The 12,412-nt window shown below is 31.7% G+C and overlaps 1 protein-coding gene across 3 annotated transcripts in view; it reads right to left on the reverse strand.

The window, feature by feature from the left end:
- The window catches only part of UBA6 (ubiquitin like modifier activating enzyme 6), an 88,504-nt gene that overhangs the window by 11,319 nt on the left and 64,773 nt on the right, over positions 1–12,412 (reverse strand). For 2 of the 3 annotated variants that reach the window (NM_018227.6, XM_017008359.3), the window contains exons 20-30: positions 11,483–11,588; positions 10,459–10,548; positions 10,272–10,352; positions 9,375–9,503; positions 7,887–7,938; positions 7,738–7,801; positions 6,496–6,565; positions 5,101–5,172; positions 2,390–2,507; positions 1,024–1,217; positions 156–283 (exon numbers count right to left, since the gene is read on the reverse strand). In NM_018227.6, coding sequence (NP_060697.4) covers positions 156–283; positions 1,024–1,217; positions 2,390–2,507; positions 5,101–5,172; positions 6,496–6,565; positions 7,738–7,801; positions 7,887–7,938; positions 9,375–9,503; positions 10,272–10,352; positions 10,459–10,548; positions 11,483–11,588 — 1,104 coding nt within the window. Of the gene's footprint in view, positions 1–155; positions 284–1,023; positions 1,218–2,389; positions 2,508–5,100; positions 5,173–6,495; positions 6,566–7,737; positions 7,802–7,886; positions 7,939–9,374; positions 9,504–10,271; positions 10,353–10,458; positions 10,549–11,482; positions 11,589–12,412 lie in introns of those variants that run through there. The other variant, XM_047415893.1, reaches the window with a different exon arrangement.

Here is a 12,412-nt window from a genome sequence, read left to right on the forward strand (position 1 = left end):
TGAAGATGAGGTTTGAGCTGATCTTGAAGTGATGGCAAAAATTTACACATACACAATAGAAGAAAAAAGAGGTGAAGCTAGTATTTTTCCCTTTTAAAAGGTAAAATATTTTATTTCATTCTCATTATACAAGAGAAATAGACTTTCATACATACCTGATTTTAGTTTTCCTTACTTCAGTTGTCTCTGTAAATACTACAATTGGAATGGCTAAGTTAAGAAAACAATTTTTGTAAGCTTCAAATGGATAGCCACCAGTTACTTTGATCATCTCCAAGGCAACCTAGATAAAAGAAGGTGATCTGATAATATAAACAGCCTAAAACTATCCGTGATTTTAATTGCATCTATTCAACTTTCACGTTTTCAAGCATTTCTCTGTGGATAGTAAAAGCAGCTATGGGACTATAGTAATATAAATTTCTTATTACAGGTCTGTATACTTTTAGTATATTTTATACTTTCAAACTTTCAACCTACTCTATACATGTTAACAGTTATTTAAAAAAATATTAATTCAACCATACAGTCTCCCTATTTTGAAAGCACATGCTGTAACTCAAAAAATAACAACAGTCTAAAATCACTTAATACAGGGGTAAATAACTACATAGCTTCATAGATAATTACATAGAGTAATGATGTAATATGGTATAATAACTAGGGCCGCACTTAAAGATTCTGAATCATTATGAATAAAGATTAGGGAAGTTCATTTTATTCAAGAAAAACAGAGTACCTGCTTTGTATGAATGACGTAAAGATCAGTGAAAAGATTATTGCCTATAAGAAAAATCATAATCTATCTTGAGCTTATTTTTTATTTTAAAAATGTATATTTATGTAATACTTCACAATACAGATGACTGCATTTTCAGAAAATATTTTGAAATTTTAAATTATGAGATCCAATATTTATCCTTCCCTCTCTAACATCTCTGAGTGACTGGGTTGGTATGACGGGGAAGTCAGGGAAGAGGCAATGAAAAAGGAGCATTTTTATTCAAGGAATAATAAACTTACCAAGCCAGAAACTGTAGCAGTGGTTGTTGCTATAGCAGGTATAATTTTACCAGCTATGCGCTTTGTTTTGAAACGGTCAGCTGGTTCAATGCTGTACATTTTGGCACGAAGATTTGATGCAGCTGTGATGAAATCTATGTGTCCATTATGATCATCATCTTTTTCAAATGAAAGCACTGCCATCTGAAGGTCACCTGATTATACCAACCAGATAAACAAAGTTCCACAGCAAGCAGTAAAGATTTTACTAGGTAAAAAGCAATGTGAATTTACTAACTTTCAAAGATTCCTTTTTATATTTTTTAATGACTGAGAAACATAAGAAAAATTCAGGCAACTAATGTTATTGAAGGCCACAAAAACAGCTTTTCCCATGATTAAAGAGAGCCAATTTTTTTTAATTAAAAAAAAAAAAACGATGGTTTTAATGCCACTAAACTAGAGACGTTTCTGTATTTAAAAAAACTTTTTAATAAATAGCAAAATAAGAAAGTTGTGTACTGCACATCTCCTATCAAGTGGTTTACAATAAAAAAGCCAACATTAGGTATAGTTCAAAAATTTATTCCATAAATCCGACTCTGAAACATTTTCCCTCTGGTAACTAAGAACAGGGTCAGTTGGTCAAATTAAAATAAGTAATTTCTGAAATCTTTGTAGATCAGTGGTTCCCAAGATCCTTCTAATTATTGTTATTCTGGGTTATTTTTCCTGAAATTCTACTGGTCCATGCTTAAAATCTCAAAAGTTTGGAAACCACTGATTTATAAAACTAAAAGACGGTGAGCAGGTCAAAACAGATGAGTGTATGGCTGCTTTTAAGGAATTAAAAATTCAGTTTTCCTGTATTTTTATATTTAAGTCCATCTAGCAAGGAAGTATATATAGGTCATTCTGTATTCCCTGTCAGTAATTATGAACCTAATTACTAAAGACTAAGAACCTAAGAATATTTCTGTTTATAGTTCTTTATCCTAAAGTGATTTAAATGGGTCTGTCCAAAGATTAGTTTCCACAAGGACCCCATTAAACTGAATTTTTAATTCCTTAAAAACAGAGCTTTTCATTCATGGTTTTAGACCTGCTCACCATCTAAAGAACTAAAACAATCAGAAAAACAACAACAATGCAGTTAATGTGATTTGGAGAATTAGACTTCAATCTTTGAGAGTAGGGCAATAGTGGGGAAGATGATGAATTTAGTCACAGTTAAAGATGAACACTGACTTTAATATGATCATGAAATCAATCAATATTGTCATCATTATTATTGTTGTGATTAAATTCCACAAATTCTTAGGTGTAGAGCTTAGTGAAAATAAAAACTCATCCAGTTCAAAACATTTTTATAAAGATTTTCCCTTACTTTTGGTGGCTTCATTAGATAAAATAGCCTTTTCTAGTTGGAAAATTGCATTCCTCTCATCTTCACTGCTAATAGGAACATGGTCTGGTTTCCTTGCAGTTTCATCTGTTTGAACAACCTTTGAATATATGAATATATTTTTATTAATGTTATCATTTCCTGCATCTGTTTGGTTACCATTTAACTGTTTTATCAAATTACAAAGAGAAAATATTTTCTCTATATATTTTGATCAGATTATTAATCATTGGTCCAATGTATTTTATACGTTCCTTTAGAAGGTATTATTATGTTATTCATGTATGTATTTTATTATCTATCTTCTCGCACAGGCATGTAAGCTCTATAACAACAGGGATCTTTATGTATCTTGTTCACTGACAGAACTCCAATATATCTAATTTTTAATACCCACAATGATACAGTGGGCATAAAAAATATTTACTGAGTAGCTCATACAATCTAAGTCCATACTGATCTTTTTAAAAATTCCACACTAGAATAAAATTAGTATTAATCAACACTTTGTGATTCTGACAAATCTACTTTAAACGCATGTTGCTTTGCTCTAACTAGTACAGAGCTGCTTCACATCAAGGAAACTAAAGCAATCCATAAGATATATAATATGGCCATCCTTTAAATATTCACTGACTGCTGTTAAGTTTTTTCCTTAAGAATATGCCTTCTTTCATATAGAAAGTTTGGTAGGATTAAGGGAGTACATACCACAAGTAATTTAACCTTAAGAAATTACTTATTAGATATTCCCTGAGGGCACGGAAATTAATATTCTCAAACCAAGAAATTAGCTTCATTATCATGAAGTAATATTTATTTAAAAATACACTCAAATCATCGTTTTACAAATTAAACATTATTACAAAAAATTAAGAAATATTAAGGAGTCCAGGAAGGAGAAACTTTTGTTTGTCTGAATGGCTAGTTGATATTTTTGGCTGTGACATCTGTAACCAGCAGTACCATACCTGAAACTTCGGTGTGAGCTCCTTTAGGGAGTTGTGAAAAAGCCCACAGTTCATGTTAAAACTGTAGTTAAATTGCTCAGGAGAATTTATTACCCTCAGACTTTAACACAGATAGAAGCAATGCAAGCCAGAAAACATACCGAAGCAAGAGCAATAACGGAAAGTAAAGTTAAAGCATTTTTCCTTGGCTTCTCTCTAGTTTTGCCCTTGGAAACATGGGCTGGGAACCTTCTTTGGGATTTCTGTTTATCCTCACCCTATTTTTATTCTTTATAGGCTATAAGTCATAAACATTGTGTTCTGCAAATCCATCTACCTGGGCAAAATCAACTGCCCTACAAGTCTTTTTTTTTTTTCCTAAAATAAAAACGCAGAACGAAAGACTGCACACGTCACTTCTTTCTTGAATTTTGCAGGGAGGTGGTCATTACTCCACCTTTTCTGGTATAGCTAAATTTTGTGGATGATTTTTAGAGAACATACAAGAAAGGCATATACTGAACATGTAAAAAAGAAAAAAAAGTTTTCAAACTTTTTTATTTACATTGCCTAAATTTCATGTTCCATCTTTACCAATACTCCCTATTGCTTTTTTTTTTTTTTTTCAATGTATTTGCCTGGCAAAATCCCAACCCTAGTTATATCCAATTTTCCATCCATTATACAGTATAATACCACCCAAGCAGCTAAATTCTGGCTGGAGAAAAGATCATTACCCTTTCTCCAGCCACATTTAGTAGGATACATTAAGCAGATTAACATTAAGTGGATCTTCAGTATTGTCTTGCGTTTTACTACATCTTTTAATTAAGTGACTCTTCCACTTCACTGGACAATTATTTCATACCTTCTTTTCTTTGCTCTTACTTCCTTTATCTTCTTATCCCCTTCACTCTGAGCTACTAAGCTAGCTTCTTATTTCAACTAAGAAAATATTCTTTCTTTATCATAGCCCCAACTATCTCTGTAATTTCCTCATTTAAGACTCTTCCCCTTGTATATTCTCTTCTAGACGAGTCCTGACCTTAAAAGCTTTTCAAGGCCTTTCTCTGCACTTATTTCTGCTGCCTACATTGCTCTTTCACTATTCCTTTACTTCCTTCAGGTTTCTGCTAAAATGTTACTGTTATCAGAGGTTTTCCTCACTTCCATCCCATATAAAATTATACCAGCTCCATCACTCTTTCTTTTCCCTGTTGTATTTTTCCTTCTTAGCACTTACACTCACACTGCAATATTATGTACTTATTAGCATTTTTGTTTATAGTCCCTCTCCGCCCAAAATACATTGGTCCAATGTATTTTATACATTCCTTCAGAAGGTATTATTATGTTATTCATGTATGTATTTTATTATCTATCTTCTCACAAAGGCATGTAAGCTCTATAACAACAGGGGATCTTTATGTATCTTGTTCACTGACAGAACTCCAATATATCTAATTTTTAATACCCACAATGATATAGTGGGCATAAAAAAATATTAACTGAGTAGCTCATACAATCTAAGTCTATACTGATCTTTTTTAAAATTCCACACTAGAATAAAATTAGTATTAATCAACAGTTTGTGATTCTGACAAATCTACTTCAAACTCAAGTTGCACTGACAAGAGCAAGAGCAAGAACCATTCATTGTGATATTCTCCAGGTTTAGAATGGGACTTGGTACAAGTCCAAATTCCCAAACTATTTGCTGAATGAATGATTTTTTAAACATACCTTATTGGAAGGCTTGAATTCCTGAATCTTTACTTCTGAAAGAATATTCAAGAGGGCATCTGCTGATAAGTCCTGTTTTTAAAAAAGTAATTTTACCAACAAACATATTCTTCTAAATTCTAAAGCTAAAAATATCCTACAAAAGGTCCTTAATCATATTACAATATATGAATATTTCATTATCTGAATATGTAGACATCCATTTGAGACATTTATCTTTATTTCTATAAAAATATCCCCCCATAAAGGTTATGGGGGAGGAGAAGGTAAGGGGTAAAAAAGTACTTATTAGTCAACAAACTTGAAATTTTAGTCCTTCTGCAAATTTTTTAAAAGGCATTTTTAGGACTGGTTGTAAATATAAAACTGAGTGACTTGATCAGTCAGTTTTAATTCCCTTAGCTTTATGTTTTATGTTTTTAATGTTTTACAAAGTTCCCTGAAGTAAGTTATACTCAATAAGTAAAATAAGTAAATGGAATTCATACCTTAAGAAGGAGGGAGATATTTAAATGGTTAAAGATGAACTTATATGAATTTAAAGCTATGGGTTGTATTTACATTTGTCATTGAGAAGTTGCTTGGCAAAGGCTGAGACTTAGTGCTTTTGAGGTCAATTACCACACTCACCACTAAATTACCACTGATTTTCCCAAAAAGAATATCAGACTGAATGCCACTATTTTTACCAAATATTTACAGTTTATTTGTATGAATTCCAAAAAGGATTAATCTAAAACAGATATTGTTATCTGAATCCAAAACAGCCAGTGTTAATTATGGGATCTGATTCATGTTTCTCTATTTAGCCCACCTAAAAGTACAGCAATTTACTTAGCTAGAATATGCATTTGTGAAGAAAAGAGATGCCTCTCAAAACCGTATGAGGCTCTTTAGATGTTAGTCAATGAAGATGATGTTTAAGAGAATGAGTATGATGCTAAAGTAAGAAATGTCAATATAAGGGAGCATTTTCAGATTTCCTGAAAAGCACATAAATTATCACAAAATAACAAACAAATGTTAACAAAGAAAATCTCTACGCAGTATTTCAAAATTGCGATGAAATGGTTTGCTGTGGCTTTTTAGAATAACTAGGATAACTGAAGCTGCTAAGCAGGTTATAAATATTCTTAAAACAAAGTTTAACTGCTTTTAACAAATAATGCTGTTTCACTGCTTCAATTCAGAAGGAAAAATCCGACTTCTACTTAGCAATACTGCAATGAGCTTTTAGCTTCCATTATGTTAGTATGGGTAAAAATACAATAAAAATTCTGTATCAAAAAGAGTGATTCTTATAACAAACAAACATGTTTTGATGCAATTAGTGCATCAGTCATCTAATTCTAATTTGGTTTTGCATCACTTGCTAAGGCTTAAAGAATATCTTACCTCTTCTGCAAATGGAATACAATATACTGTAGCATATAGTTTTGCAGCATTCTGAAGGAAACTGAGGTGCCTTTTGAAATTAAAAAATAAAGCAAAATTTGAATGTACAGTTTTAAAGACGATATTTAACTCATTATGAACTATAGCCTTTAAATGTAGTTTGAAGAAATATAACCACAGAATTATTATTTCAAGTTTTTTTTTTTAAGTTAGACAAAAATATTCTGGTCTACACCAAAACACTACAGAAGTTATAAAAGACAAAACATCAAACAGTTATTCTCAAAAACACTTAACATTCAGGTAGTGATCATGACTACCTTGGGAAGAGGAGTGAGTGGACAGAACCAGAAAACTCAGACCAGTGAACAATAATTCATTTTAAGTCATAAGAAATATTATACATTTGGTCTTAATGAGTATATATCAAGTTCAAACTAAGTAAATGTGTTTATTTAAAAACAAAAAAAGAAAGTCTTATAGAAGAAGCAGTCCAGCATAAGGTGACTGGAAGCCTAAAACCACCACCAGATGAGAAAATTAAGCATAGAGTTATCTGCTGAAAGGAAGGTTAGTGAATGCAAGCTAAGTGTTTAAAAATATATATACATAAGGTTGGGTGTGGTGGTATGCACCTGTAATCCCAGCTACTTGGGAAGCTGAGGTGCGAGGATTGCTTGAGCCTAGGAGTTCAAGACCAGGCTGGGCCACATATGTGAGACCTTGTCTCTTTCAAAGAATAAAAACTAAATTAAAAAAATAGAAAAAATATACATATACACACAAGTGTGAATCTAATGTGTATCTAATATAGTGTTTCCAGGTATTCACACAAAGACCAACTCCTCTGAAAATAATTTGAGATTTAGGGAGTTATTCAGTAGTAATTATTTGTTCCTCCATATAACTGAAGATTCTTATATTTGATTTCATTAAATGTAAAAACACATTGTCATTTTACTAATTTATGGATAAAGTAAAAAAGGTGATTTTGGTTTCACCTTAGATATTTATTATAAATAATGAGGTTATTTACCATGTAAATGAATGGATTCACATTTGTGTGGGAAGGGTTGTGGCTGGCTTTCTTGGTCAGAATGACTTGTTAACTCTTAAATGAACAGGGATGAAATAATTTAACATTAAAGAGCCTAAGGTTTTCACTCTGCAATGTACAGTTAAGGAATTTACAGTAAAGAAATATATAATGAAGGATACATAAAACTAAATATAAATACTTACAAAGGCTCATTTAAATCAAATTTTATTGGAGAGGGTGGCCTCTTTGGTGACTGCCAAAATAAACCTGGCAAAAAGATACAAATATCATTTTCAATGTATGTAGCCAGTAATAAATGTCATTAAAATTTATTCTCAACATTTATACTTACTGCCATCTTTTAATCGTATGTCCAGAGGGAAACAGTGAAGAAGCTGAAGAGCCTAAAGAAAAAAAATGAATTAAAGACACCCACTACTTAATATTATCTGAGGAAAAATTAAAAAATAAAATTAAAAAATGTGTGTAGTAAATATATGCACATGATTCAAAAATCAAAACACATTAAAAGAGACACAGTGAAGTCTCCCTACCACCCTTGTATTCCATCTGTCCATTCTCCTGTCAATGTCCCTCATAAATGAAAAATTCAAATATCATTTTCTATCACTATTTGTAGGTTTATTGGGAGGTGGTATCTACAGCAAACAAATGTAGATTACTTCACTCCTTTTTATATAAATGGCATATTTTACATGTCATTCTGTTCTTTTTAAAGAGCTAGTACTTAAATAACAAAACCAGAAAAAACACACAGTACTTTGTATTTTTGAAATTGATACATGTTTGAGATTTGCTTCAAAATCACCTGGGGGAAGGTAAGAATGAACGGGAATGGTGATGAAACAAGATTTATCTATGAATTGATAACTGCTAACCCTGGGTGATAGGTAATTGACAATTACATTAGGGTTCATTATACTATTTCCTCTACATTTCTATGGCTGAATATTTTTCATTATAAAAAAAGTTTAAAAAAAATGCACAGAAGATAAGAACTAAAGAGTTCCTTAGATTTTTGAAACGGGTCATTGATAACCATGTTAAGAACAATCTGAAGAGTAATGAGCAAAGAAGTCAAATTTACTGGGTAAAGAAGTGGTAACATTGAGTAGTACAGACCACTTTTCCAAGAAGTAGAGCTCTGTTGAAAGTAAAAAGAAGAAGTATAAACGAAATATTTTTTAAGTGGGGTGTGGTGGCGTGCACATGCAGCCTCAGCTACTTAAGGGCTGAGGCAGGGATCACTTGAGCCCAGGAGTTCCAGGCCAGACTGGAAAACATAGGGAAACCCTGTTTTTTTGTTTTTTTTTAAAGTTGTTTCTAAGGAAGATGAACTTAAGATCCTAAAGAGAGGGAAAGACTAAAGAGAAGGCAACACACATTCCAGCAACTATATTTAACTGGAGGTAAGAATAACAGCTAATATTTAGTAATTTTTTATGTGCCAGGCTCTGTTCTAAATGCTTTGTGTTACCTCCTTTTATCTTTACCACTACCTTATGTATTAGGTACAAATTTATTATTTCTATTTTACAGATGGGGAAACAGACATAAAATGTGATTATCAGATATGGGTGGAAATGGCAAAATCTCAGCAAAATTTCTGACTAAATGTCCCTATTTTCTCAGTTTCTTGCTTCTTCTATTCTGAACAAACTTCTTTTAGATTAGCATGTGTTCTCATTTAACTTACTACTAATTTCTGAAAAGCTTGCCAAAAGAAAGAATACACATTTCAGGTCAATGAAATTAATTTGTTAATAACTAAATAAGCCAAGATCAGACCTTTTCTTAATGTCTCACAATGCATACTTACCTTATGGTTAAAATATTTTTCAAACTTTAATCTTGCTAATTCTACACACTGGGACCAATTTCTAGGTCTTCTGCTAAGTAACTTTATAACTTGAAAACAGCCTTCTAAACTGTGTCCACTCTGTATCTTCTAGAATGGGAGAGAAAAAAAAAATCAACATACTTCCAATTACAAACATATACACATCCCTCACCAAAAGTTAGCCTAAGTTTGAAGTGTCAACTCATGTGTTTTATGCTTTTCTTTTTTCACCTCAAGCTCCTTTTCCCTTCCTTCTTCTTTAACCTTTCTTTTCTTTTCTGTTTGAGAAGGGGAATGGTAAGAGATAGCATACAAAATTTTAACTCTGATTTCTTATCTTACAAGTTATCCTCATATTTTCCTAGCTGTAAGTTATTAGTACTATAATATATGTACTCACTATAAGTGCTATGAATATTTGATACTAAAAAGTGGGCCTTGTTAGCAAAAGATTAAAAGAAAGTGAGAAAACATCTTTAAAGTTGCCTTCACTATAAGAGTAATAAGTCTTGGAGATTATTGTTCCCTCATGAAATTTTAACTAGAACTTACCTCAATTTTTTCTTTCCAAAGGGCTTAATAAAAGCCCTTTTATTATTTGTAGCCCTTCTATCATAATTATCATATCTTTATTAGCTCGCACCATACGAATTGCTGTTTTGTGAGTCGAACATGCTCAAATATCGACAATTCCATGTAGTTCAAACAACCAAAATGATAATTTGTGACCTAATTTCAAGATTCCTTATGTATCATTTCATTTTTTATATACAATCACTCTTTATGGAGGTAAAATAAATCACTTGTAGATGACTTGAAAATAAGATTACACTGACACAAAGTGTTAAGTTTGTATTAAAATTTACTGATTTTTACCTGTAAGACTTCTTCTGCAGATGAATAGGTTTGCCAAAATTTGTTAAACAATGAAGGTTTGTGGGAAAAGGAACTTTCAAACTGTAACAGAGAAAAGAAAAAAAAAATTACAAATAGAAGTCTGTTTAAAGTCAGAAATATCTTCTTTCTCACTTCAAAGAAAATAAATTTAAAAAGGAACTTTTACCTTATCTCTTGCCCACTGTATGGTATGTTCAATAGCAGCTGGAAAGGATTTTAGAGTACAAAATGGTATTTCCTCTTCTGGGGGATCCCGCTAATTTATAAAATATGACAACAGGTACTTAAGGGGAAGCAATGACCAATTTTTATTGATTTAATCTAGTTTTGAGCTTTAAGCCTATTAAAAATCCAAAAATAAATAAAATCCAACCAGACATTTTTATATCTTCTCTCTCTTAGGCAATAAGAGAAGTTAATTCTTTTGACATTTAACCTATTTGTTAATAGCTATGTAATGCCAAACATGAATCTTATTTATTATTTGTGTACTCATTTAAAGCACCATGTAGTACTCATGACACACCATCATCTATAAATCATTTTTTTCCTCATGAATCAAGGTGACATTTAAAGTTTTATAACACTGCCCCGCTTTGAAAAGTAATTCAGGAATACCCAGTATAGTGCTCAGAAAAGCATGAGTTTTTCCATGGAGAAAAACATCTGGGAGCAGAAATATGTCCTCAATGCTTGAGGTTTCTTGCAGAAAGCATGTATTAAATAAATGGTAAATACCTAAGTCGTTTTTTGTGGATAAAGTACCATTGAAGAAATCCACATTCTATTATAGAGTACATTTTGCCTAGGTTTATTGGTTTACCTAATCTAAAATGACTCACTTTGTCTCAGCAAGTGAATAAAATTTTATGTCTTTGTTGACAGTTCTAGTCTCAATCTAATAGTTTGTTCTTATCAAACAATCTTAAACTCAAAGGGTATTAGAAAACTAAGCAGCTCTGAGAAATAAATAGTAAACAGAAGAATAATGCTCCAGAAACACCAGACACAAAATTCTGATAATTAAAAAAAAGTTCAATTATATTTTAAAAAATGTACATGCACATATGTATGAACATCATTGGCAGAGCAAAATCAGAAGGATTAGGAAAGCTAAATCAAATTGTTGATTAAGACAAAAATTACAAGATATAAAAAAGACATCTATTTCAAAATATTGATTCACTTACATGACTATTGTAAGACTCAGTCAAATGCGGTACAATAACTTCAGTGTGTCCCTTAGTGCCCATTGTTCCAGAATCTAAAAGAGGCCTTAGATTTGCTAAGCAACGACTATTTGAAAAGACAGCAAGTAAAAAACAAAAAAGTGAGCAATAACAATGTAACCAAAGGACAACCTACAACTTTCTATTGACCATTTCACATACTGATCACTTCTTGAATGCAGTATTTTAGGAAAACAGATATACTACTATCAAACAGTGGATCATTCCTGTTCCCCTATTCTGCAATATACATATACATCTAGTAGTACCCTAAATCTGGGGCTTTCTTAACCTTTATCTCTAGGTTAATTCCTAACAATATTACTCCTTTTCCCTTGCTTTATATTTCTTCTTTGGTTATTTTCTAACTACAAGTTCTACCACACTATCTCTTCTCAATATTTTCTTTATCCCAAATAATATTAATCTTCTTTCTCAACACTTACAATACCTATATTCTACAAATTTTTATTTTTTAAAGTTTTATTTTCTTCCCCTCTTTGGCCCAAGATTACATACTTTTCACATTTTTCAACTGATAAATTCTCCCCTGTTAATATATCTGCTCTACACCCTAACATTGAGGAGTCATATAAAGATGTAAGGTGAACACATTTATAGTCATTCATTCATCTACTTATTTAAGGAATATTTACTAAATGACATCATATGTTGGGCACTGAGGATACAATGACGGAAAGTAAATGGTCCCTGGATGAATGATTTAGTGAGGACACAAACATTAAATAAATATGCATATCAGTAAAAATGAGTGCCATGAAGGAAAAAGTACATAGTGTTATGAAAATCACCATAGGAGGATTTAATTTAGAATTTGGGGGAAAAGAAAGTCTGTTTTGATAAAGAAATTTAGGTCCCTCTCCCTCTCCT

This window comes from Homo sapiens, chromosome 4, assembly GCF_000001405.40.
Source record: "Homo sapiens chromosome 4, GRCh38.p14 Primary Assembly".
Lineage (NCBI taxonomy): Eukaryota > Metazoa > Chordata > Mammalia > Primates > Hominidae > Homo > Homo sapiens.